Raw genomic sequence first — 27,958 nt, forward strand, 5'->3', positions numbered from 1 at the left:
CTCATATAGCCAATGTTTTACCTCTGTTTTCTACATATTCACAGCAGGTGAAATGTGTTCAGGAATTTAAAGATGAAAACATATGTCTTTTAAGTAATGACCACCAAGAGCCACTGCAGATAGAAACAGCTTTATTTTTTCCATTCAGGCTTTATCAAATAGCTTGTTCAAAAAGCATATACAAGAGCAAAAAATACCACATGCAGTCAAACTTCTTTTGCCTTATAGTCATTGGCTTTCTTTTAGAAAAGAGTGTGCACTTGAATAACTTCTAATTCAAACATTTTCCAACTGTTTCTACTTCATTTTTCAAGTTAGCAACGACAGATACATTTTAGTTAACTGTTTCATATTCCTTATCTTTATTCATACTGAAATAATATAAAGCCTATAAAATCAAAGCATATACTGTTCAGAAATCTGGAAAGGTTCTTTTACATAATAGATTCTGACACGTTAAGAAACTACACACAACAAATATTTGCAAAATGAATGAAAAATAGGATAAAGCTATTTAAAAGTCAACATAGTAATATTTATCTAAATAATTTTAATCAAATGTACAACATATTTATCTGATATCATCTATCTTTTAGAATACAAAAAAGTGCTCAGATTACATTTAAAAAAATAACAAAAATCTCTTAGAATGGAAATAATTTAAATAAGGACGGTAGCAAGGGGAATTGAAATTACATCTTTGCTCCCAAAACAGGAAGGCAGGTGTGATGTATTTGAAAATCAGAAAGGGACACAACACTAAGATTGCAAATGCAAAGCTTCCTGCCTTGGAAAGATATAAACTGTCTTTGAAAAGTCCTTGTGTCTTTCTTTACAGAAAGTTACGAACATAAAATCAGATCTCTCAGCTAGACTGCTGGTCAAGTAACAAGGTGGGTCACTTTTCTTGACTATGCTTTTCTAGTCCACTATCAGTATTCACTCAGCTGGGGCTCAAAAGGACAAATAGGTGTCCTTTTAAGACACTTTGACTACTTGGATCAATACACTAGCTATTCTCAAACCAACATAATGCATGAATACAGCAGCCAAGTAGAAGGATCTCCAATGCTCAAGTCACTCTGAGTCTTTGCTGGTGTCAACCTACAATGCCACCCTCAAGGAAAGCACAGTGGTTCACAGACAGGGATGATTCATCATTTTCCTCTGAAAATGAATTCTGCAGGAAGAAACCAGAGTTGTGGTAAGATGTTGGAGTCAAGTTTTCTCTTCATCTGATATTCAAGGGTTGTGATCTTTATGAATACCATTTTACATGCTAATCACAAAGACAAATGGAGGGAAGATACAGTGATAACACCAAGTTGGACATTCAAATGCTAAGCGAGCCAAGTACCAGCCCTACCCTGCTTATTTTTAATAATGCAGAGATTACTTACTACACTTTCTGAAGCCTTATTTTGAAATTTATTTCACATTTCAGACATGTCCATAATTTACTGTTGAGGAAATAAAACAGCATGTAGAACATAATTCTATTTATATTAAAATTACATAGGTATGTGTGTATACATACATGACAGTTCTTTTCTCCTTCTGAGTATGGTAGGGTTGTAGATGATTTTTACTTTTTATTTATACTTCTTAATGTTCTAACTGCTTACAGTGTCACTTTTGTTATAATCATAAAATGAAGCTCTTTTCATTTTAGAGGAAAAAGAGAAAAAAGGCTCTATAGATTCTGAAGGCAGTTCCAAGTAAGTCTCTCAAATGCTCTTACGAGACTACTTTGCAGGTCAAAATCCCAGAAAAATGTAAAATCTTGTGATCAGAGAAAATGGCTTTGCTCACTACTCTAGCTCGGTTAGCAGAGTACGCAGCACCTTGGCAGGTGTGACACACACACTCTGAATGAAGAAATGCGGCTGACTTGGATGTTGAGTTTCTAGAGATTTCAGTTTTAAAATCATTGTTTTATGATCCTTTTTATTCTAGTTAGCTGAGGATATTTTCAAATTTTTGTCAAAATTCAGTACATTTTAGAGGAAAGTTTAAAATTAGCAACAGGATTCAAACTACCATGTTTTATAACATGGCTTTTAAGAAACGATGAACCAAAACAGAAAAATGGGCAAAGTGGGGACTAAAAACGGCTTGCTGGCCAAATAGCTGGTAGCAGAAGAGGGGATCAGCTGACAAAGAGGGCACAAGAAAATAACCCTCCTGTTTTTCATCCTGTTTCCCAGACAGCTCGACTATAGCTAAGAAGGGACATGTCTGACTGTCCTCCTGTACCCAGCACAGTGCCTGCCACCTTGACAGGTGGGCAAAGGACTCAGCAAAAGAAAGTGAGGGAAGGAGGGGGCTGGCCTCTGCTCTGAGTTACTAAGGGTGGCAGAAGCCACCCTGACTGTGACTCTCAAATCAAAGGACAAGAAATGGATTGTTCTAGCTCTTGTCCTGGAACAGAGGTCGGAATGATTCCTTCTTCAATGTGATTTGTGGCATAACTATGAAAGTAATCACATACTAATTTCCATTAATAACCAAAGACAAATGTCCTGAGTTGTAAGATAAAAAACTAGTGACTATTTATTTCCTTTGGATGAGACTTAGATCAAGGCAGGAACCAACATTTTTCTTTAAAAAAATTCAATTTCTTACATTTTTAGAAGTAAAGCAAATAATATAACTAGAGTAATTATGTATTTTATTGTCCAAACTGGGATATTTTTTAGAGTAAAAGGGAGTACTATATTCTAGGGGAAAAAACTATGCCAAGACAACAGACATGAACAGGACTGTCCTGAACAAATGGATACCTGATGCTAACACAAGCTCCATTTTAATGTTTTATTTTTTCAAGTTCTCTATTAAACTACATAACATTTGGCAGCAATTTCACATTGAACACTGAGTTGTAACAGCACAGTTTTGTTCTTGAGAAGACATATTTTCTAAGTGATGAAATGAACTTTCTACCTTCCCCATACTTAAGGTTTCCTAGCATAAGTTCAGTTTAAAATGGGCCTGAGGAAACAGTCTGTTTTAATTTCTCTAACAGAACCAAAAAAAATGCACAACTGTGATTAAGTTACTTAGATTCACTTCTTCATTTTACAAAATACAAACAGGAGAATTTGAGCGTATCTTGCTCTAGAAAGAATCCTCCAAAATGATAAATCCCAATTATGGGGGCTAGGTCATAATGCAGTTTTAAAATCTTTATATTAACTATGAGATTCTCACAGATACATTGCCACAAAATATTTTTTAAAAGCCATAGATAGTCAAAATAAAAAATGTCTAATTTGTGGGTGGTGACAGTTATTTCCCCACAGGTACTGAATATGTATCCTGGCACAAATCATCAGCACAACACAGGAACTTCCCGGCAGAGGTGAACAGGTCAGTTTCTGAACAGCAGCATCCGCTCGGAGCACTTCTGCCCCACCAGGCTGGCGTACTGCAGAACAGCAGCCTCCTCACTTGGGTCTTTCTGCTGTTTCTTATAAACACCGTAAGGCATGATGGCTCTCTTGTGAAACACCTGCAATCGGTCAGGTTCCGTACTGCGATCCTCATCCACTGCAACGACAAAAAATACTGATTTGTAAAATGTCACATATCAAAACTTTTTGTTTCCTTTTTTTTTTTTTTTTTTTTTTTGAGACAAGAGTCTTGCTCTGTCGCCCAGGCTGGAGTGCAGTGGCGCTGTCTCACCTCACTGCAACATCCACCTCTCAAGTTAATGCGAGTCTCCTGCCTCAGCCTCCCAAGTAGCTGGGATTACAGGTGTGTGCCACCACACCAGGCTAATTTTTGTATTTTTAGTAGAGATGGGATTTCACCATGTTGGCCAGGCTGTCTCGAACTCCTAACCTCAAGTAATCCTCCCGCCTCAGCCTCCCAAAGTTCTGGGATTACAGGTTTGAGTCACTGTACCCAGCCTTCATTTCTTAATTTAAAAAATTTTTAACTTAAAATATAAAAATTATGTATTAAGATATCTTTGATGAGTATGTTCAAGTGAGGGTGGGCAGCATTAATATTAACACAAACTTGAGTATGTTAGCAATTAAGTAACAACTGCCATGCTGAAGGTGATAAAGACCCTCCAGGATGACAGCTGAAACACCAAGCAGAGACAAAATGTGTCTAATTAGAACACTGGCCTCCTGCACCTTTATTATTTTCTGGCACATGATAAAGTTTACAACTCTCCGGCATCATTCCTGCATCTGATTTAAGTCTGTTTTGCCTCTCCCTGTACCAACATATTATCTGAAGTTTTAATCTCTGCACTGAAGCTTTTGGCTGACTCTGCAGTTGTGAATTACTAGGTATGGACAATGCACCCTCATGGTCTTAGGTAGGAGGGCAGGTTCCTACAGCTTTCATGGAAGACGTGGAAGAGACCGTTGGTGGCTGCCACTATCTGTCCTTCTCTTCTTTCATATAAAACCAGCCCCGGTTTTCTTCAGGGTACACAGGTCACCCAGACAAAAGCCTGTTTCCCAGCCTTCCTGTGGCTGGGTGTGGGCTCATGACCAAGTTCTGGCCAATGGGATACAAGTGGAAGTGTTTTGTGGAAGTTTCCAAGCATCTTTTCCAAAGGATAGCTGACCTGTACCTTTTGCTGATTTTCAACCTTTCCTTCATTCTGCTGCCTGGAACGTTGGACTTCATGGCAGGATCCCTACCCTCCACCTTGGAGTTTTGGGCTAAGAGCTTACTTTCAGTTCAGCCAAAACAAAAGCTAGAAGGGACCTGGGCAACTGAGGACTTCATGGAACAAAACTGCCATACCAGCTCCAGGTTGCCTATGTCTAGATATTTACATTACAAATAAACTATCTTGTTTAACCCAATATTACCTTAGGTTTCTATTACTGGCAGTCACTCCTAATCCTAAAGAATATAGAGAATAATGTTACAGTATCTACTAAAATGTACAATGTTTTCACTGACTCAATAAGTCTACTTCTAAGAACAATCCTACAGCAGTGGTTCTCAAGCCTGACTACATATTGTAACCACCTGAGATTTTGAAAAATACCAAAGCCTGGATCCCCTCCCCGGAGATCCTAATACAAAAACTACTCTGAATGGGACCTGAGCTTCAGTATTTCCTCAAGCCCTTTAAAGTGGGTTAAGAACCACAGGCGGGGTGCAGTGGCTCACGCCTGTAATCCCAGCACTTTGGGAGGCCAAGGTGGGCAAATCACGAGGTCAGGAGATCGACACCATTCTGGCTAACACGGTGAAACCCCGTCTCTACTAAAAAAAAACCAAAAAACAAAAAAATTAGCCAGGCGTGGTGGCGGGCGCCTGTAGTCCCAGCTACTCAGGAGGCTGAGGCAGGAGAATGGTGTGAACCCGGGAGGCGGAGTTTGCAGTGAGCCGAGATGGCATCACTGCACTCCAGCCTGGGCGACAGAGCAAGACTCTGTCTCAAAACAAACAAAAAAAAGAACCACTGTCCTAGAGAAACACCCATACAAGTGTTTCCATGCATGTATGAGGCTGTTTATGGCAACACTCTCTCTTAGAAACTGGAAACAGCCTGAATGTCCATCGATGGAGAACTGGGTAAAGAGTTAAGGTATATCCACAGAATGAAATGTTATACACAACTATTAAAAAGACAAAGGAAGATAGACTGTTAAGTGAAAGGCAAAAGTAGGCACAGTATAAACAATAGTTATTTTATTTAAAAGTCCAATATAAAAAATCTGGAGACATATATGTCAGCCTGTTAATAGAACGTATTGCTAACCCTTCCCTTTGCGCAGAATTACCCGCTTCCCCAGAGTACCTGACAGCTCACCCTCTTACTCCCCTGATCACTGTCAGAGGGCTTCCCTGGACCCACATAAAATAGAAAATCCACTCTAGTTCTCCTCCATCTTTCTTCATAGCACTTACCGCCACCTGACACATATATTTACTGCCTATTTCCCTTTCCATTAGGAATAAAGTGCTGTGAGAAGAAATATTTCAACTGTTTCGTCTGCTAATACTTCCCCAGTGCCTAGAACACTACCTAGCACACAGTAGAGGCTCCATAAATATTTGCTGCATCAATTCCTGGGAGTAGAATTAATTACAGACTTTCACGCTGGGACACACACACAAACTCATCTTTTTTTATATTCTACAAGACTTTTGTAATCTAAAAAATAGTTGTTTTTAAGGTTAATTTAAGCATTTTATTTTTCTAAATTTGAATTTCCTGAAAATAAAAATAGAAATGCCAGCCTCCTTTTCTATAAATCAACGGGACTGTTTTAGGAGATTTCTTAGTCTTCCAGCTATAAACTCCTATATCTAGTTCTCAAAGCCCAAAGCCCAAAGCCAATGATCAACTTTTCACAGTACATTCACTACAAATTTAATCAAACATTTTACTGGATGTCCACTTCATACAAGGCTCTATGCTCTGAATACTTAAGTTAGATTACATCCCTTATTTTGTAATTGTAGCAAAAAAAAAAAAAAGTTTATTCTTCCTCAACAGTCGTTGCTTTCTCTAAAGGGACATAAATTAATCAGGAGAAATCATCCAAGCTCAATTTCAAAAGTGACAGGCATAACACTCTTCTTCCGACATCTAAATGAGAGTGTTCCTACTATATGAATTTATTTCAGAGGCTTAGCTGATCTCAGTCATCTTAGAGAATGTCAGTTAGGGCATTCCCCCAAATGACTACATTCTATGCCTGTTCAGAGGTTTGTAGCAGGAGATACAAGCTAATTATGTGCTGTTAGCCAAAAAGAAGTTCTACACTGGCAGAGAAGACCACAGTCTTTCACTGACAAACAGCTTGGGATGGCATGGAGGGATGAGGAGAAAGGAACATCAACGATGCCAGCCAGAGGGCCTTCACATCCACAGAACTGAGTGCCATTGTCGTTTTCTATTGTTAATTTGTCCAGGGACATATTCAAAGGAGATCAAGATGAAGATGGACATAAACTGTCAAGAGAAGGAACTTCTCAATATTGCTGTTTCATCTGCGCCTGCTTGCCCTCAGCTCCATTCCTCGCCCTCCACCTGTTCTGCTCTGTATTGCAGGAGGCTGGCTCCTGCAGGCTCAGCTGGTCTCCAACTGGGTTCAGCCAGTAACAAGAGACTGGAGCTGGGGGGATAAAGAAGCAAGGGCATTTTCCCCCCAAACCTCTCCTCTCTCTTCCATGGCTCTGCTTTTTGGAAGCTGCTCTAGCTGCTCTTGAAGTTGTCAGGGTTCTGGGTAGCCCTGACCCCTGGGCCCCCTTTCCTCTTCAGCACAGGGTAGCAGTGTCTTCCTACTACTGCTAATCTCTGGGTCACCTTTCTGTGCCTTGCTTGGCTCTCAGCAACACCACTGCCTGTTATCACCAATTCCCTGCATTAAATTTTCTCTGTTGTAAATACTTGAAGTGGTTTTGGTGTTCCTGCTTAGATCCTGATACACATATGAATTTAAAACTATGTTTCTTACAAATTACTTTATCCAACCAAAGGGGAAAGTCCACATACTTTGAAACAATTATATGTTTAACATGTCCTAGGTTATCACATCCCTTACCAGGGTAAATGACAAACAAAGGAAGAGGCAATACTTTGATTCCTGCTGTCCATTTTGGATATTTTAATGTGTGCACATTGCAACATGAATAACAATCTCCACCATCTAAATGTGTCTAGCAGGAAAAAGGCAGATTCAAGTATGTTTAGAGTCTCATACAAATAAAAAAGTGAAGATCGGTGAGATCAGCAAGTGAAAAAGCAGCAAGAACAATGGCAAAACAAAATTTTCTAAATCTAAAACCTTGAATTTTTTAAATTGGAATTTTAAAGTATGTCTATATTTATACAGAATGATGCTTAACAGTTTAAACCTTTATCCTAAAATATTTGGGGACAGATATACTTTAAGACCCCAATAAATGAAACACCCTAGCAAATAAGAATGTGAGATCTGATATGTCATTTTATCTAAAATAAAATGTCATCCTTTAATTTTTACTCTTTTCCAGTATGATATATACAAATAAAAATACAAGATTATGAAAAACCCTACCATTATGTATAATTTACATCAATTATTTTAAAGTGTATTCCCTGTGGAGAGCAGAAATTTTGTTTCATTTGTCAAAATATAGACTTCCATTCTATTTATTGAGATCACATGAAAAAGCTATAAAATTACACACTGTCATATTTTTGGGAAACACTACAATATCTATGTTTCAACCACTGAATTCCAAATTGGCTTATGATGTCACTGATATCTGTTAACAAACACATACAATTAAGTCTCCTAAACTTCTAAATTAATTGACAGCATTTTTATAGAGTTATGGCACAGAAATTAATCAAGTTCAATAGTTTTTTTGTTTTTTTTTTTAACCCAAAACACTTTTGAGGCCTAGAATTGTTCTGGATCAAAGCTGTCAAATCCATAATAAAGTATCTTATAAAGCAGATATTGAGAAGCTATTCACTTTTTAATGTCATACATAATTATAAAAAAGTGATACTAATGAATTTTAAAATCCTCTCATTCTCTTCAATGTTAATGCATCCAAGTCACTTGGAATCACTTGGAAATCCAACTATATTTAGTCTTAGTGTTCAAATCCTTCAGAAGCTTGTAGGATTGTTGTTTAATACTGCAAGTAATGTGGTGCTAATTCTATCACCAACACACAGACTATGCTGAAACTTGATGGAAACTTTTTAATTAATTTACTAAAATACGACTTAATTTTGTCAACTGTCCCAAATTCTTTAGTTTTCCCATGAACACACTTTGACTATAAAAATGGCACAGAAACATCTAATAATATGTGTTGCCAGCATCTGTCAAGCTCCTGCCCATACCTTCCTTCAAACCTAACTGCTTCCCTGGGTTAATGTTCATAATGCCCAATACACCAGGTTCTAACATTTCACAAAATCCTCAGTACTCAGGTAAGATTTTATCTAATTCTGTAGTTACATTAATTCAAACTTAATTTGCACATTCTGTCAGGAACAATTTATTCAACCAAGAAGGTATACTCAGATATTAACATACAAGCAAATAAAAACATTTAGTTTCCCTTTAAAAATTAATACTAAGCCTATCTTTTCTCACGTGAAAAACCCTTTAATTGTAACTCAAATTTAGAATTCTGCCTACCCAAAGAAATCAAGCTACAACTGCAGTACTTTAGAAAAAGGAAACACAGATCAACAAGACATACAGTGATAGAAACAAAGGAAAGATACACTATCCATTTTTAAAAACTATCAAACTGAATGAACTCAACAAACTGTCTTGGAATTAGTTATCAATTAATTAATGAATATTCAATAACGACATTAATTTTTAATTTTACATCATTTTTAGTCATCAAAGTAATGCCTGTTGTAAAATTCAAGTAACATAGAAATAAACAAAGCAGAGACTGACGTCAGCCCCCCATGCAGAACCCTCACTTCTACAGTTTCCTCCTACCCTCACCAAACACCCATCCAAGTTACCAGTGTTTTAACAATTTCATAAAATGCATTTAAATATTAAAATACAGAGTTTTGGATCACATTCTAGCAATACCTTAATTTAAGGAAGAAACATCAAATTACCCCTTCAGTGGGTATAATATATTAACTTGAAAAACTACTGATTATCATTATAGGCAAAACATACTTCTGTCTTCTGGGCTTAATGTTCTGTGGTCTTACACTCACTTAGTTACGTTCCTAAGAAAGGCAGATTCTAATTCTTAGCATATTCTACATAATTAACATGAAAACCTAAGCAAAAATACTTAAGCCATTAACAATAAATTATGATTTATATACTAAAGGAAAAAAGGTACTCCAAATCCTTACAAAACCCCTTTATAATCATCTTTTCTTGCTTGCCTAATAAATGTCATCAGTGTAGACAAAAATCTCTAGAGCTGAACCCACACAGCACAACAGGCATTTTCTTAGGTGATCTTGAAGATAACAGAAAAATAAGCCATTTGGAGATTAAGGACCATGTGCCATTTCATCTAAGAAAAACTCTCGGCTTACTGAGATGTCTTAAAAATATGTTCCAACTAGAACTTCTTCCACTTTTCCTGTCTCTGATGTATCACAATCTAATTTCATACAATAACAACCAAAGGCAATCCTGCAAACTCTCTTCTGAGATGAGCATTTGATCACTAGCGATACAAATATATTGTCAACTCCATGAAATTTTAATCTTCAAGGAAAACTGGTGGGCAACAACTACTTGATTTTTTCCCCCAACTTTTTATTCACAGGAGATGAAATGCACAATACAGGTGCTTTCAAAGGACAAGAATCTAGAGATCAAAGCTTTACTTCTCCTTCTTATGGGGATTTAACTCATTTGTTATTCTTAAAGAGACTTTATAACTTCTAGGCTTTCCAAAAATTAATGAAAGTCTATTCTCTTAACTTCATTATTTACTGCTACATACAGCATTACTACATAAATAAAACAAGTTACATACTCCAAGGAAGATACTTATATAAATGGCAGATGGCTGGAGATAGCTGGACAAAACTGATTTAATAATTTAAAATTTTCCACAAATGAATGACAGCGGAAGAAATACTCTACAAAAACGCAACTCTGGAAGTTCAAAGTCAAGTATGATTTAGAATATTTTAAAGTGACAGGAGATATTAACAAATTTTTTAATCTTTACGAGGGAGGGGACAGGAAAGGTGAGAAGAAAGGAAGCTTTTCAGCATAAAATAGCAAAAGAACAGGCCGAGAAATGCAGAGCAGTTGTGACAGAAATAACAAGGCTCCCAGCCCATTCTTTAAGCCCATTTGGTGGGAGGCTCAGAAATTAATTTGGGACTCCAGCTGAGAGAATTACGCATGTTCATATTCTATAAAGTAATACTGTTGTAATTTCACTCGGAATATTTTTGGTCAAAATGAAAACTAAGAAATATCTAAGCTTGTAAAATGTCATTTAATAACAGCTTTATTGTGATATAATTTACATACCATGTAATTCACCCATTTAAATTATACAAACCAAGGACTTACAGTGTATTCACAGAGTTGTGCAACCATAACATCTATTAGCAGTCAACATACTGAAGAACTGCCAGACTGTTTTCCCAAGTGGCCGCCTCATTTGACATTCCCACCAGCAGTATACAAAGGTTCCAATTTCTCCACATCCTCATGAGCACTGCTATTAGCTGCTTTCTAGGTTGCAGCCTTCTTAGTCGGTGCATAGCAGTATCTTTTTGTGATTTTGATTTGCATTTCTCCAATAGCTAATGATGCTGAGCATCTTTTCATGTGCTTATTGCCCATTCATATGTCTTCTTAGAAATGTCTGTTTAAATCATTTGCCCATTGTTAATTGGGTTGTCTTTTTATTGAGTTGTCAGAATTCTTTACATATTCTGGTTACTAGATCCTTATTGAATGCATTATTTGGAAATACACTCTCTCATTCTGTGAATTATCTTCACACCTTCTTGACTGGGTCTCTGAAAGGACAAAAGTTTTAAATTTTGGTAAAGTCCAATTTATCAATTTTTTTTCTTTTGTTGCCTGTGCTTTTTGTATCATATCTAAGAAAACACTGCCCAGTGCAAGGTGATGAAGATTTACTCCAATGTGGCCGGGCGTGGTGGCTCCCACCTGTAATCCCAGCACTTTGGGAGGCTGAGGCGCATGGATCGTGAGGTCAGGAAATCGAGACCATCCTGGCTAACAGGGTGAAACCCCGTCTCTACTAAAAAAAATACAAAAAAATTAGCCAGGCACGGTGGCGGCCGCCTGTAGTCCCAGCTACTAGGGAGGCTGAGGCAGGAGAATGGCATGAACCCAGCAGGCAGAGCTTGCAGTGAGCCGAGGTTGCGCCACTGCACTCCAGCCTGGGCGACAGAGTGAGACTCTGTCTCAAAAAAAAAAAGATTTACTCCAATTTATATTTCTAAGGTTTTTTTTTTTTTTGAGACGCAGTCTCCCTCTGTCGCCCAGGCTGGAGTGCAGTGGCGCAACCTCTGCTCACTGCAAGCTCCGCCTTCCGGGTTCATGCCATTCTCCTGCCTCAGCCTCCCGAGTAGCTGGGACTACAGGCACCCGCCACCACGCCTGGCTAATTTTTGTATTTTTAGTAGACACAGGGTTTCACCATGTTAGCCATGATGGTCTCGATCTCCTGACCTCGTGATCTGCCTGCCCTAGCCTCCCAAAGTGCTGGGATTACAGGCGTGAGCCACCGCACCTGGCATTTCTACGAATTTTATAGTTTTAGCTCTTACATTTAGGTCCAACCCATTTTAATTTTTGTATATGGTGTGAAGTAGGGGGCCAATTTCATTTTTTTGAAAGATGCAGGACCATTTGTTGAAAGGCTGTATCCTTTTCCCTGAATTGTCTTGGCATCCTTTTTGAAAACTAACTGACCATAAACATGAGGGTTTATTTCTGGACTCTCAACTCTAGTCCACAGATCTGTATGTCTACCTGCATGCCAGGACCACATAGTGTTAACTTTATTATTCTTTTTAAAGATTGTTTTGGCTATCCTGGGTTCCTTTCATTTCCATGTGAATTTTATGATTGTCAGTTTCTGCAGGGAAGCCAGCTGGGATTTTAATAGATCACTGCTCTGAATCTGTAAATGAATTTGAGGAGTACTACCATCTTAACAATATTAAGTCTCCTGATCCATGGACATGGGATGTTTTCTTCACTTATTTAGGTCTTCTGTAATTTCTTTGAACAATGTTTTGTATTTTCCAGAATATAATTTTTGCATTGCTCTGTTAAATTTATTCCTAACAATTCTATTTTAATGCTGTTGTAAACGCAACTGTTGATAATTTCATTTTTAAATTGCTCACTGTTTAAGTGTGTAGGATAAAATTGATTTCTGTGTATGCTGAACTCATTTTATTTGATAGTTCTTTACATTCTTTAGGATTTTCTATGTACAAGGTCATGTCATCTGAGAATAGAGACAGTGTTTCTTCTTCCTTTCCAATCTGAATGCCTTTTATTTCATTTTCTTGCTGAACTGGCATGGCTAAAATATAATATTTCAAAGGAAAAAAATCTATGCAATTTAGTTAAACTCATGATATGTTGATTAAAAACAACATTGGCTCCCAAAAGTCACATAACAAAATATAAATTATATAATTTATCAAGATGATTCTAGCCAGAAAGAACTCCAGGTTAATTTTGATATTATGGTCATTTGGTATCAAAGTCCAGTAAAAGGTCACCAGAGAAAAGCAGAAAGAATGCAAAAATCAGGCAATTGCATACAAAAAAATCACATCAACTTTATCACCTCAGCACATATACTGCTGGTAGGATCTGTAAATACTGGCCAAGTAAAATGCTAATAAAATCTCTTATGATGATGAATAAGGACTCTCAAATTTCTATTCTATGTTTTGACCCCTAAATACTCATCTTAGACACTTCCTATTTCACCGTTTATCTTTATCCTAATAAAGGCGAGGCTTAAAAACTCATAGAATATAATGAAAGAAACGTAAATTAAAACATGCTATTACAGGATTTCTCAAAGATGAGAGGGAAGTTGGTTTATGTGCTGGGGCTGGGCCAAAGAGACATTTGTGAGTTCAGGCTGGCAGGACTGGGCCAATTCTGCCCCATGTGGTCAAGAAATTAGTTACATACAAGGGAACTGAGCATATAAATAAATATACTGAGAAAATGGGGAGGCCAGATTTCTCAGTCAGAGAATGGAGCTACAAGTATGGAAAAGGAGAAGACTAGAACAAACTGTTGTGCTGGATTAAAATTCCAGATACTGGTGAAAACCCATGACTTTTATACCCTGATATAGACATACAGATACACAGGTAGATATAAACGTATGTGTATAAACTCACATATATTGCCTAGATCTGTCTGCTGAGAGGGCTTAGAAGCAATGAAACCCCGGTAGCAATGAGCATACTTATTACTCACATCTTGTATTCTGAATATTACTCTTCACAAAAAATAACTAGGGCTCCTTGGAGACGTGACTAATTATAGAACTGAGTCAGAGAAAGTATAAGATGAGTCTGAAATATTTTGTGCCAGAAAGGAAGTGCTCAAAAAATGATGGGGACTTGTCAAAAGAAAACATGAGTCACCCTGAAAAGGCTCCTACTGGCCAAATCTGAGACAATTTGAGCATTCAAAATAAATAATGAAAGTAACAATTTTATAACACATTGATTAGAATGAGATTCCGTGAGTCAATATAAACAACAAACAGGGAAAGAGGACTGCTTTTCCTTATTGTAGAATGCCAACTAATAAAAGTAGAAGTAGTGATAGAATTAGAAAATCATCATTTGGCAGCCATCTCAGTAATAAGTGATTGAGGCAAGAATCGTCAATGGATGTAAAAACCAGTAGATATAAGTCTGACACAATAGGATATTTACACCATCTCAGGACAGCTTTCTACAAAATATTTACCAATTACTTATTAACATGTACAAAATACTTATCAACTTTACAGTGGAGAAACCTGGTACATTCCACTTCCCCAAGTGATAAAAATTCAAGTCACAGTACAGAGATGAATTAACACTGTATACCTCCTGATATGATGCAATACAAACCCAGCATCACTTCTAGGGTGTTCTTGCCAAAGCTATGTGACCTGAATCTAATTACAAAGAAATACTTGATGAACACAAATGAAAAACTACAAAGTGACTGGACTCTTCAAAAATATCGAGGTAACAAAAGACAAGGATATACTATGGTATTGTTCTAGACAAAAGGGGCCTAAAAAGACACAACAATAAATGTAACACAGGATCCTCACTTGAACCTTAGGTCTAAAAAAACAGAGAGAAAAGTAACATAGGCTTGTGTATGTGTGTATGCATTTTTGTGCTATAAAGGACATTACAGGGAAAATCTGTAACACTTGTACAGGGTGTGTGGATTAGATGGTAACATCTCAATGTTACTTTCCTGGTTTTGATGGCCATGTCTAGTAATGTAAAAAAAAGTGTCCTTGTTTTCAGCTAATACACACTGGGATACTGAAGGACAGTGGTGCAATATATCAGAAACTTATTCTCAAATGGTTTAGAAAAAAATACAGAGTAAAACAGAAAAAGTGATAAGGCAAATGTGGTAACACGTTAATAACTGGGGAGTCTGAGTGAAGGGTATGCATATGTTCTTTGTATTATTCTTGTCATTTTCCTGTAAATTTGAAATTTAAAAATAAAAAATGTTGTGTATTAGTCCGTTTTTACACTGCTGATAAAGACATACCAAAGACTGGGCAATTTACAAAAGAAAGAGGCTTAATTGGGCTCACAGTTCCATGTGGCTGGGGAAGTCTCACAATCATGTCAGAAGGCAAGGAGGAGCAAAGTCATGTCTTACATGGATGGTGGCAGGCAGAGAGCTTGTGCAGGGCAACTCCCATTTTTAAAACCACCAGACCTCATGAGACCCATTCACTATCATAAGACCAGCATGGGAAAGACCCACCCCCATAACTCACCACTGGGTCCCTCCCAAAACACATGGGAATTATGGGAGCTACAAGATGAGATTTGGGTGGGGACACAGAGCCAAACCATATCATTCCGCCTCTGGCTTCTCCCAAATCTCGTATCTTCACATTTTCAAACCAATTATGCCTTCCCAACAGTCCCCCAACATCTCAACTCATTTCAGAATTAACCCCAAAGTCCAAGTCCAAAGTCTCGTCTGAGACAAGGCAAGTCCCTTCTGCCTATGAGCCTGTAGAATCAAAACTAAGTTACTTCCTAGATACAATGGGGGTACAGGCATTAGGTAAATATAGCCGTTCCAAATGGGAGAAATTGGCCAAAACAAAAGGGCTACAGGTCCCATGCAAGTCCAAAATCCAGCAGGGCAGTCAAATCCTAAAGTTCCAAAATGATCTCCTTTGACTCCATGCCTCGCATCCGGGTCACTCTGATACAAGAGGTGGGTTCCCATGGTCTTGGGCAGCTCCGCCCCTGTGGCTTTTCAGGGTATAGCCTCCCTCCTTGCTGCTTTCACAGGCTAGCGTTGAGTGTCTGCAGCTTTTCCAGGTGCACAGTGCAGGCTGTTGGTAGATCTGCCATTCTAGGGTCTGGAGGACAGTGACCCTCTCTTCTCACAGCCCCACCCAGCGGTGTCCCAGTAAGGACTCTGTGGGAGGGCTCCAATGCCACCTTTCCCTTCTGCACTGCCCTAGCAGAGGTTCTCCATGAGGGCCCCACTCCTGCAGCAAACTTTTGCCTGGGCATCCAGGCATTTCCACACATCTTCTGAAATCTAGGCAGAGGTTCCCAAACCCCAATTCTTGACTTCTGTGCACCCACAGGCTCAACACCATGTGGAAGCTGCCAAGGCTTGGGGCTTCTACCCACTGAAGCAACAGCCTGAGCTCTACCTTGGCCACTTTTAGTCACAGCTGGAGTGGCTGAGATGCAGGACACCAAGTCCCTAGGCTGTACACAGCACAGGGACCCCTGGGCCCAGCCCATAAAACCACTTTTTCCTCCTAGGTCTCCAGGCCTGTGATGGGAGGGGCTGCCATGAAGACCTCTGGCATAACCTGGAGATATTTTCCCCCACCGTCTTGGAGATTAACATTCCACTCCTTGTTACTTACGCAAATTTCTGCAAGCAGCTTGAATTCTCCTCAGAAAATGGGATTTTCTTTTCTATTGTATTGTCAGGCTGCAAATTTTCCAAACTTTTATGCTCTGCTTCCGTTATAAAACTGAATGCCTTTAACAGCACCCAAGTCACCTCTTCAATGCTTGGATGCTTAGAAATTTCTTCTGCCAGATACCCTAAATCACCTCTCTCAAGTTCAAAGTTCCACAAATCTCTAGGGCAGGGAGAAAATTCCGCCAGTCTCCTTGCTAAAACATAACAAGAGTCACCTTTGCTCCAGTTCCCAACGAGTTCCTCATCTCCATTTGAGACCACCTCAGCCTGGTCCTTATTGTCCATATGGCTTTCGGGCCTTTGGTCAAAGCCATCCAACAAATCTCTAGGAAGTTCCAAACTTTCCCACATTTTCCTGTCTTCTTCTGAGCCCTACAAACTGTTCCAACCTCTGCCTGTTGCCCAGTTCCAAAGTTGCTTCCACATTTTAGGGTAGCTTTTCAGCAGTACCCCACTCCTGGTACCAATTTACTGTATTAGTCCATTTTCAGGCTGCTGATAAAGACATACCTGAGACTGGGCAATTTACAAAAAAAGAGGTTTAATTGGACTTACAGTTCCACATGACTGGGGAAGCCTCACAATCATGGTGGAAGGCAAGGAGGAGCAAGTCACATCTTACATGGATGATGGCAGCAAAGAGAGCTTGTGCAGGGCAACTCCCATTTTTAAAACCATCAGATTTTGTGAGACCCATTCACTATCACAAAAACAGTACAGGAAAGACTTGCCTCCATAATTCAATCATTCACTCCCACTGGGTCCCTCCCACAACATGTGAGAATTATGGGAGCTACAAGATGACATTTGGGTGGGGACACAGAGCCAAACCATACAAAAATGCTAGTGCTAAACTGTGTTCTTCACCTTCCCATCATATTCCCTCATATTTGTGTGTATTCTGGAACCCAAGCATGGCATTTGTACTTTTCTCATTGTTAAATTTTGTTCTGACATATTCCCATCACTCCAGCCTACTGAAGTATTTTCATATTGTTTCTTTTCTTCTGACATGTTAAGAGATCCTTACCAGTTGCACAGTAACGGAAATGTGGCTATCAAAATAAAAATAAAAATGTTAAATAGGATAGAGTCCTGAGACAAGAACAAAGAAGGTACTATACTTAATATAAGTATGTATATGTGTAGCTAATAATTTTTTTAAAATTATCAAATACATTGAATCAGTTCATCTTAGGATCTATTATGTTCAGTTTGCCTATAAGTTTTTTGTTTTAAATCAATAGCTTTAAATTCTACCATATTTCACAGGTCACAAAAGCTATTAAGCTATTACCATGATGGTAAATGGACAGGCGACCTCTTTAGGTCACAAAGCCAAATTCCCATTTACAATGAAAGGGAGTCATAAGACTAATTTCCAAAGAATGAATTTGGCATTGGGTTGATCTTTGATTCTTTCCAAAAGAATTAAGCTAGAGACTTCTAAAAATACCTTTAAGTAGCAATACCTCTGAAAATTTCCTGGAGCATAAAATTAAATTAGAAATTATAGTATTAATCTTAGGGGCAAATACAAATTCACTTTCCTTACAATAGTATTGGCTTTCTGTGGAGACAGCCTCTACCGGAGGAAATATAACCATACGTTATTTTGCTGGACTTTAGTGTGCTTCTCAGATATTGAGGGTTTGTTTGTTTGTTTGTTTGTTTTTACAAATTAAAGATTTGTGGCAACCCTGCATTGAGAATAGGTGCCATTTTTCCAAGAGTATGTGTTTACTTGGTTTATCATGTCACATTTTGGCAATTTTCCCAATATTTCAAATTTTCTCATTATTATTATATCTGTTATGGTGATCTATGATCAGTAATCAGTGATGTTAACTACTGTAATTGGTTTGGGGTATCACAAACTGTGCCCATGTAAGATGGCAAACTTAATTGATAAATGCTGTGTGTATTCTGACTGCCCCACAGACCTGCCCTTCTGCTGTCTTTCTCCCTCTCCTTGGGCCTCCCTATTTCCTGAAACACAACAATATTGAAATTAGGCCAATTAAAAACCCTAAAAGGCCTCTAAGTGTTGCAAGTCTCTCACTTTAAATTAAAGGCTAGAAATGATTAAACATGGTGATGAAGGCACACTGAAAGCTGAGACAGACTGATGGCTCTTGTGCCAAACGGCCAAGCTGCAAATACAAAAGAAAAGTTCTTCACAGAAATAAAAAGTGCTATTCCAGTGAACACACAAATCATAAGTAAAACAGCCTTATTGCTGATATGGAGAAAGTCTTAGTGATCTGGATAGAAGATCAAACCAGCCACAACATTCTCTTAACTCAATGCCTAATTCAGAGCAAGACCCTAACTCTCTTCAATTCTCTAAAGGCTGAGAGGTAAGGACATTGCAGAAGAAAAGGCGGAAGCTAGGAGAGATTGATTCATGAGGTTTAAGGAAAGAAGCCATCTCCATAAAAGTACAAGGTGAAGCCGGCCGGGCATGGTGGCTGACGCCTGTAATCCCAGCACTTTGCGGGGCTGAGGCAGGTGGATCACAAGGTCAGGAGATTGAGACCATCCCGGCTAACACGGTGAAACCCTGTCTCTACTAAAAATACAAAAAAATTAGCCAGGTGTGGTGGCGGGCACCTGTAGTCCCAGCTACTTGGGAGGCTGAGGCAGGAGACTGGCGTGAACCCAGGAGGCAGAGCTTGCAGTGGGCCGAGACTGCGCCACTGCACTCCAGCCTGGGCAACAGAGTGGGACTCCGTCTCAAAAAAAAAAAAAAAAAAAGTATAAGGTGAAGCAGCAAGTGCTAATATAGAAGCTACAGCAAGTTACCCTGAAGATCTAGCCAAGATCATCAAGAAGGTGGCTACACTAAACCAGAGATTTTCAATGCAGATGAAACAGTCTTCTACTGGAAGAAGCTGCCATCTAGGATTTTCACAGCAGGTGACTTTAAGCTGAAGCCAATGCTCATTAATCATACTGAAAACACAAGGGTCCTTAAGAATTATGGTAAATTTTGTGCTTTATAAATGGAACAACAAAGCCTAGATGACAGCACATCTGTTTACAGAACAGTTCTCTTTGCAGCGTATTTTACTGAATATTTTAAGCCCACTGTTGAGACCTACTGCTCAGTTTTTCTGATTCCTTACCAAATACTGCTCACTGGCAATGTGCCTGGTTACCCAAGAGTTCCGATGAAGTTATACAAGATCAGTGTTGTTTTCATGCCTGCTAACACAATAACCATTCTGAAGCCCATGGATCAAGGAATATTTTCCATTTTCAAGTCTTACTAGTTAAGAAATACATTTCATAAGGCTATAGCTACCATAAAAGTGATTCCTCTGATAGATCTGGGCAAAGTAAATAGAAAACCTTCTGGAAAGGATCCACCATTCTAAATGCCATTCAGAACATTTATTATTCATGGGAGGAAGTCAAACTATCAACATTAACAGACATTTGGACGAAGTTGATTCCAAACCTCATGGATGATTTGGAGGGGTTTGAGAATTCAGTGGAGGAAGTTACTGAAGCTGCAGTCAAAACAGTACAATTAGAAATAGAAGTGGAGTCTGAAGATGTCACAAAATGCTGCAATCTCATGATAAAACTTGCATGGAGGAGGAGTTGTTTCTTATGGAAGAGCAAAGAAAGTGATTGCTTGAGACAAAATCTACCTCTGGTGAAGATGCTGCAAATATGGTTGAAATGACAACAAAAAACTTAAAGAACATTAGACAAACTTAGTTGATAAATCAGCAGCATGATCTGAGAAGACTGACTCCAATTCTGAAAGAAGTTCTACTGCTATCAAACAGCACTGCATGCTACAGAGAACTCTTTTGTGAATGGAAGAGTTAACTGATGCAGTACAGTTCTTTGTTGTCTTATTTTAAGAAATTGCCACAGCCACCCTGCTATAATTCATATGTTTGTCCTCCCAAACATCATGTTGAAATTTGATGTCCAATGTTGGAGGTGGAGCCCAGTGGGAGGTGTTTGGGTCATGGGGGTGGATCCCTCATTAACAGATTAATGACCTGGAGCAGGGGAGGCGAGTTCTCATTCTATTAGTTCCCACAAGAGCTGGTTGGTAAGAAGAGCCTGCCACCTTCCTCTCCTCTCTCTTGCTTCCTCTCTTGCCATGTGATCCCTGCACATGCCATGGCTCTGCTCTGATTTCCACCATGGGTGGGAGCAGCTTGAGGCCCTCATCAGAAGCTGAGCAGGTGCCAGTGCCAAGCTTCATGCACACCCTGCAGAACCCTGAGCCAAATAAACCTCCTCTTTATAAACTACCCAGCCTCAGATACTCCTTTACAGCAACACCAAAGACATATATCAACCTTCAGCAAGCACTACCCTGTGATTAGTCAGCAGCTGTCAACATCAAGGCAAAACTCTTTATCAGCAAAAACATTATGATTTGCTGAAGGCTCAGATGATCACTAGCATTTTTTAGCAATAAAGCACTTTTAAATTAAGCTATGTATGATAGTTTTTTTTTCCCAACATAATGCTATTGTGCACTTAATAGACTACAGCATAATGTAAACATGACTTTTATATGCACTGGGAAATCAAATAATTTGTGTGACTTGCTTTATAGCAGTGATCTAGAGCAGAACACATAATATCTCTAAGGCATGTCTGTGGTATAACCCCAATTTTCTGGGAAATTTAGGGTGCTCTAATCTCTGAAGAGGATCCCCTTTCCGACCTCCCTAGCCCTGCCTCCCAAACTCCTTTTTTTACATTGCCACAAGTCCCAATCTAGAAATCCATCCTCTTCCCCATTCCTGGTCTCAGCCCAATCTGTATATAATCTCTGTAAATTATAGTATCTTGTATAATCGATTTTTTCTCTATATTAGTTCCTTTTCACTAACTTTTACAAAAGCTTAAGACTGCCATCTGGGACAAACAAACTCTCTGTGATCCCCTACTCATCCTCCAGTTATCTTAATTCTATTTTTCTTTCCTTCTCTAAAGAGCATTTACTTAATGGCCATTCCCTCATCTCCCACTCACTCTACAATCTATTTTAAAGTGTATCTTGGCCCAGTCACCTTCACTCTGTTCACTGAAGTCAAAGTTGTCCCCTTGTTCTCAAATAAAATGGATACGTTTCTGTCTTCGTCACCTTCAGCAAAGCGTATCAGAAAACCAGGTCATCCTCCTTGAAACCCACTCTGCCTTCAGCTTTCCTGACACTATTTATCCTGGGTTTTCTCTTGCCCCAGGGCAATCCTTTTTCATTGACTGACTTCTCCCTTCTTTACCTATTAAATGTTGGAAGCTACGTAGTGTCCTTTTCTAGGTCCTCCTCTCATTGCTCTACACTTTCTCCCTAGAAAATTGCACCTATGCTGTGGATTCAACTACCATGTGTAGATTCAATGACCATGTTTAAGTCTGGCCTCCAAATCCTCAGGAGACTTGATAATACTACAGCAGGTTCTCAAACAAAGTTGTTACACTGGCCGCTTCACTGTAACATTGATGAAAAAAAATGCATCTCCTGCCAGGGCCACTGTGTGGCATCTGCCCACCCCCACCCCTGTGTCTGTGTGGATTTTCTCAAGGTACTCCAGTTTCCTGCCACATCCCAAAGATGTGCATATTTGGTGAACTGGTGGGTCTAAATGGTCCCAGTGTGAGTGAGCTTGGTGAGTGTGCGTGTGCCCTGCGAGGGGATGGCGTCCTGTTGAGGACTGGTTCCACTTTGTGCCCTGAGCTACGGGGATAGGCTCCGGTCCCTTGATACTTGGAACTGGAATCACAGGTAAATAATTATCTTACTAGCTTTTACGAATCTTAAATGTACATATAGCTCACATTTATTTCAATGTTTAATATTAGAAGCGTTTCAGTTTTTAGAAATTTGGTCATACTTTTGTGACCAGAAATATTCTGTAGGAACTTAACTCTTGTTTATATCAATTAAACCTATGATAAAATTGATTTCATTATACATTAGTTCGCTTAAAGTCACCTTTTCCAAGAACCTATTGATGATGTTAACTGAAGACTTACTGCATATGACGTGAGGGCAGGATACTACAGTGTACAATTTGCCTTTTAGAGGCAAATTCACATTGTTTTTATCAGAGCAAACCCACTTTTAGGAATCTGTCCTATGAAAACATTAGTATATATGCAAAAGGATGTATACTTAAGGGTATGGTTTATGATAGCAAAATTGAAAACCTAAAAGTACGCCAAAGTGGAGACTTATTATCAGTAATGTAGTATGCAATAACCATATGATCTAGTAATTGCGCTTCTTGGTATTGATCCAGATGAATTGAAAACTTATGTCTATACAAAAATACACAAAAAATGTTTACAGCAGCTTTAGTCATAATTGCCAACAAGTGGAAACAACAAACATGTCCTTCAATAGGTAAACAGATCAACTCTGGTACTATACCTGACAGAATATTACGCAGCAATAAAAAGAAATGAATTATCAAGCCACATAAAGATATGGGGGAACTTTAAATGCATTTAATGAAGAAAGCCAATCTGAAGAGGCTATATTACTGTTGGTTTCCAATTTTATGACATTCTGGAAAAGGTAAAACTATGTAGACAGTAAAAGAATCAGGGGTTGCCAGAGGATGGAGATGCGGGAGGGAGGGATGAACAGATGCAGCACAGGAGACTTCTAGGCCCATGAAACTCCTCTGTAGGATACACGTCATACATGTCATTAGACACTTGTCAAAACCCAGAGAACGGACAACACAAAGAACATACCCAGCCGGGCGCAGTGGCTCACACTTGTAATCCCAGCACTTTGGGAGGCTGAGGTGGGCAGATCACTTGAGGCCAGGAGTTTGAGACCAGCCTGGCCAACATGGAGAAACCTCCACTCTACTAAAAATACAAAAATTAGCCGAGCACTGTGGTGCACACCTGTAGTCCCAGCTACTTGGGAGGCTGAGGCACAAGAATTGCTTGAACCCAGGAGGCAGAGGTTGCATTGAGCTGTGACTGTGCCACTGCACTCCAGAGCGACACAGCAAGACCCTGTCTTAAAAAAATAAAATAAAAAGAACATATCCTAATGCAAACAATGGACCTTAGTTAACAATAATGGATCAATATTGGCTCATCAACTGTAATAAATGTAGCACACCAATGTGAGATGTTAATGATGGGGGGCTCAGGGAAGGGCGACGGAGGGCAATTGAGCTTTCTGCTCAATTCTTCTGTGAACCTAAAGCTGTTAAAAAAAAAAAAAGTCAACTAATTAAAAAAAATGTAAGCCATTTAACAACAGGGGAAGCTGGGTGTGGGATAATGAGAATGTTCTACACTACACCTTTGCCGTTTTTCTATAAATCTACAACTATGATAAGATATGATTTATTTTTACAAAGGCTGGGCACAGTGGCTCACACATGTAATCCCAACCCTTTGGGACGCCAAGACAAGAGAATTGCTTGAAGCCAGGAATTTGAGACCAGCCCAGGCAACATAGCAAGACCTTGTCTGTACCGGTTCCTGCAAAAAAAAAAAAAAAAAAAGATTGAGGAAGTTCTTTAGGTAACAATGGGGAATGATTTTCAAGCTATCCTAATTTTAATGTAAAAAACAAACCACAGAATATTTTTGGTATGACTTAATTATAACTACATAAATTGTATGTCTAAATAGCTAACATAATTAAAAAATTTAAAATCGGTTACACAGAAAAAGAGCCCAAAGCCTCCCTACTGAACCTCAAGGTTTTCTGAGTTTATGCTTTGCTGAAGGCGACTCTGCTTACCTGTGCAGAGTGAGGAGCAGAGATGTGTATGCTACCTGCACATTTACTGGAATGTGCTGTAGAACTGTGACTTTCCACATCAAATCATCACTAATAACAAGCATATAATCACTCATGTGTTGCTGCTTCTAGTAAAACTGTTGTCTAGAGAGTTAAAGTGCTGGAGAATAAATATGAAGTGTCTGGCATAAGGTGGGTGCTAAAGAAGGATAGCAGGGCTATCATTACTGTCGATCTCCAAGTAGTGCCACTTTTTTAGAACCACCAAGAACTCAACACTTCTGTCCATTCAGACTTCATTGAAAGAGAGTGCTTACTGCTGCTTTTACCATTTGCCACTGTGGGCCAAAGCTGGGTAGACAGAACAGGGAGGTCGCTGGCAGGACACTGCTTACTGTGTTCTCTCTGGCTCACTTCCTGCTGGAAACAGAGGAAGGAGCTTCTGAAGATGCAGAGTCCCCCAGGTAGTGCTGGCCACAGGCCAGGACCTACCCCTCCATGAGAAGTCACCTCTGAGGGTTCATCCACCCTTCAGTACAAATGTATGGTCAAGGAGGCAGAAGAAAAAAAGCTCTGCCAGACTCTCAGACTCTCAAAGAAAATACGTAAGAAACACAGTAAGCTCAATTCCACTGCAGTGATTCCCAGCCCTGGCTACATATTCAAATCGTGGGGAGGTTTAAACTATGCTAACATTCAGAATATACTGCAGAACAATTAGACTGTGCGAGTGGGGCCTACAGATAAATAATGATGTGGAAAAAATCCGCATCATATATTCAGACATATACAAAGCCTTAAAAAATATCAGTGCACAAATCTAAGGGTGTATTAACAATTTATTGCCACTTGGCTTTAAAAATAATGCTCCAGGACAGAAAATTACTAACAAACCAAGAATGTAGCAAGAAAACTCCCAAACTGCCACATTCATGTGGGGATTTTTCATTTCTGCTCCCACTAAGGCTTCAAATTAGACAGAATGACACTCAGGTGCAATAAGAATATACAAAATAACCTCGGTTGTCACTTTATATCTTAGTGCAATATTCTGATTCACTATTTTGGTATTAGACGTTAGCAGACTTCCATTTAATTTTATTGGCAATTTGATAAAGTGAATCTGTGGGGGCTAAAAAAACCAATAGATTAACAATAGGTTAAAAAGGGAGAAGGAGGAAGACAGATATTGATGGTCCCTTAAATATCAATTTCAGAAGATCAGGAGTAGGAGACTGCCATGGTGATATCATATATTATAATTGTCTCTATTATTCTGACAGCTTTACTCTTGTAAAACTTGGTTTTCTTCTTTGAATTTTTAAACCTAAAACTGCCTGCCATAATGTCTCTGGAAGTTATTATAGTAAGCAGTATTAGAAGGATACAAATAAGCCTTTTGTAAAACTTGGATCAGATTTTATAAGGTTCAAGTTTTACCAGGCAGTAAATTAATTTTAGATTTTCTCAATTAGCTCTCAAAGATTAACTATCTGCGACATGCTTAATATTCTTCATGGTGGAGTCAGACGTGCACAGCTAAAATAAGGGTGATCGTTTATGCATTCCTAACTAGCAGGCAACCATAAGACAGGGGGCCTTCCACTCCAGGAAGATGAGGGAGACCTACTTTTCCCTATCCTCCCTACTAAGTACAACTGGAAACTCAGGACATTATATATCAAACAACCCTACAAAGACTCTGAAAAGTGAGAGAAGACGGTAATCCAACTGAGGATTCTGAGACTTGAGGAGTGACACAGTGATAAACTCCCTGGGTTTTCTTTTTGCCTCATCTATTCCCGGCAAAACACTGAAAAAGTTGGCAACTCTGAAAAGCCAACACACACAGACTAAAAAATCCCCGAAATTTGGGGATTTTTGGCTCCCTCTAGCCAAAGTACCAGGAAAGGGGCGGCCTACACAAAAAGCAAAACAAAAACAAAAAACCTCCTAGACAATAATCTCAAAAAACACAAACTGCCATAATTCAGCCAATATGAAATGGACAAGTGCCCTATAAAGACTGAAGAAATTAAATTTATAATTAAAAATCTGAAAACCTCCATTCCCAGATGGCATAGAGACAATGAGGCTTCCACCACTCGTTCATGCTCCAGAAGGGCCTGGAAAATTCGAACAAACATTTAAAGAAATAAAACCCATTCCACACAATCCCTTTCGGAGAATAAAAGAGGAGGAAATCCAAACTAGACAAAGACAGTACAAAAAGACAGAACCAAAAACCAGTATCCCCTTATGAACACAGATGTAGAAGTCCTTAACAAAATACTAGAAAACAGAACTCAGTAACATACAGAAGAATTACACACCATGACCAGCAGGGCTTATTTCAAGAATTCAAGGCTGGTTCAGTATTAAAGACCAAATCAATGCTATCCACCATATTAACAGTTTAAAGAAGAAAAATCACCTGACACAATTCAGCAACCACTCACGATAAAAACTCTCAGAAAACGAGGAGTGGAGGGGAACGTCTTCAACTTGATAAAAAAACATCTACAAAAGCCCTATAGCTAATATCTTAAAGGTGAGAGACTGAATGCTTTCCCCCTAAGATCAGAAAAAAAGTAAGGTGTCTCCTTTCATCATTTTTATTCAAAATAGTACTAGAAGTTTTGGCCAGTGCAATAAGGCAAGAAAAAAACTAAAAGGCAGACAGACTGTAAAGGAAGAAATAAAACCATTTCTATTTGCAGATGACATGATATTCTATGTAGAAAATCTCAACAACCCTCCAAAGAACTACACAAGTTCAGTGAAGCAAAAGTATACAAGATCACCACATAGAAACTAGCTGCATTGCAATCACATCTGATAAAATTAATATCCATAATATTTAGAGAACTAAGTTTCTTCGCCAAAGAAGACATACAAATGGCCAATAAGCACATGAAAAGGTGATCAACAACATTAATCATTTAGGGAAATGTACATCAAACCCACAACTCTTACTCATTAGGATGGCTACTGTAAGTGTTGGTGAGGATATGGAGAAACGGGAAATCTTGTGCACTACTGGTGGGAATGTAAAATGGGGCAGTTGCTATGTTCTTTGGGAAATCAAAAATGGCATTACCATATGACCCACCAATCTCATTTCTAGGAGTATATACAAAAGAAATCAAAGCAAGAACATGAACAGTTATTTGTACACCCATGGTCATAGCAGCATCATTCACAATAGCCAAAAGGTGAAGCAACCCAATGGATGAACTGATAAACAATTTGTGATATATACATACAACCTTTAAAAGAGGTAAAATTCTAACATATGCTACAACATGGATGAATCTTATAGAAATTATGCTAAGTGAAATAAACCAGTCACAAAAAATACTGTATGACACCACTAATTTTTGGTACTTAGAGAAGTCAAATTTATAGAGACAGAAAGTAGAATGGTGGTTGCCAGGAGCTGGAGATGGGAATAATGGAGATTTATTGTCTAATCAGTCACAGAGTTTGTTTTGCAAGATGGTAAAATTTTGTAGATGCAAAA

The 27,958-nt window shown here is 38.8% G+C and overlaps 1 protein-coding gene across 35 annotated transcripts in view, besides 1 other annotated feature; it reads right to left on the minus strand.

Annotated features, from left to right (window-relative positions):
* Nucleotides 1–114: 114 nt before the first annotated feature.
* Nucleotides 115–27,958, minus strand: part of ATE1 (arginyltransferase 1) — a 188,040-nt gene continuing 160,196 nt past the window's right edge. For all 35 annotated transcript variants that reach the window (NR_110006.2, NM_001439381.1, NM_001439374.1 and 32 more), the window contains one exon: nucleotides 115–3,549. Coding sequence is in view for 34 of the 35 variants with exons in the window: in NM_001439381.1 (NP_001426310.1) it covers nucleotides 3,371–3,549 (179 nt within the window). In the remaining variant the exon portion in view is untranslated. The remainder of the gene's footprint in view (nucleotides 3,550–27,958) is intronic.
* Nucleotides 13,942–14,001: an enhancer, noted in NCBI's record as "active region_4140". NCBI's record gives its function as "activates an Ori minimal core promoter by ATAC-STARR-seq in GM12878 lymphoblastoid cells {active_cell/tissue: GM12878}" and the evidence as "EXISTENCE:reporter gene assay evidence [ECO:0000049][PMID:35858748]".

Source organism: Homo sapiens, chromosome 10, assembly GCF_000001405.40.
Source record: "Homo sapiens chromosome 10, GRCh38.p14 Primary Assembly".
Lineage (NCBI taxonomy): Eukaryota > Metazoa > Chordata > Mammalia > Primates > Hominidae > Homo > Homo sapiens.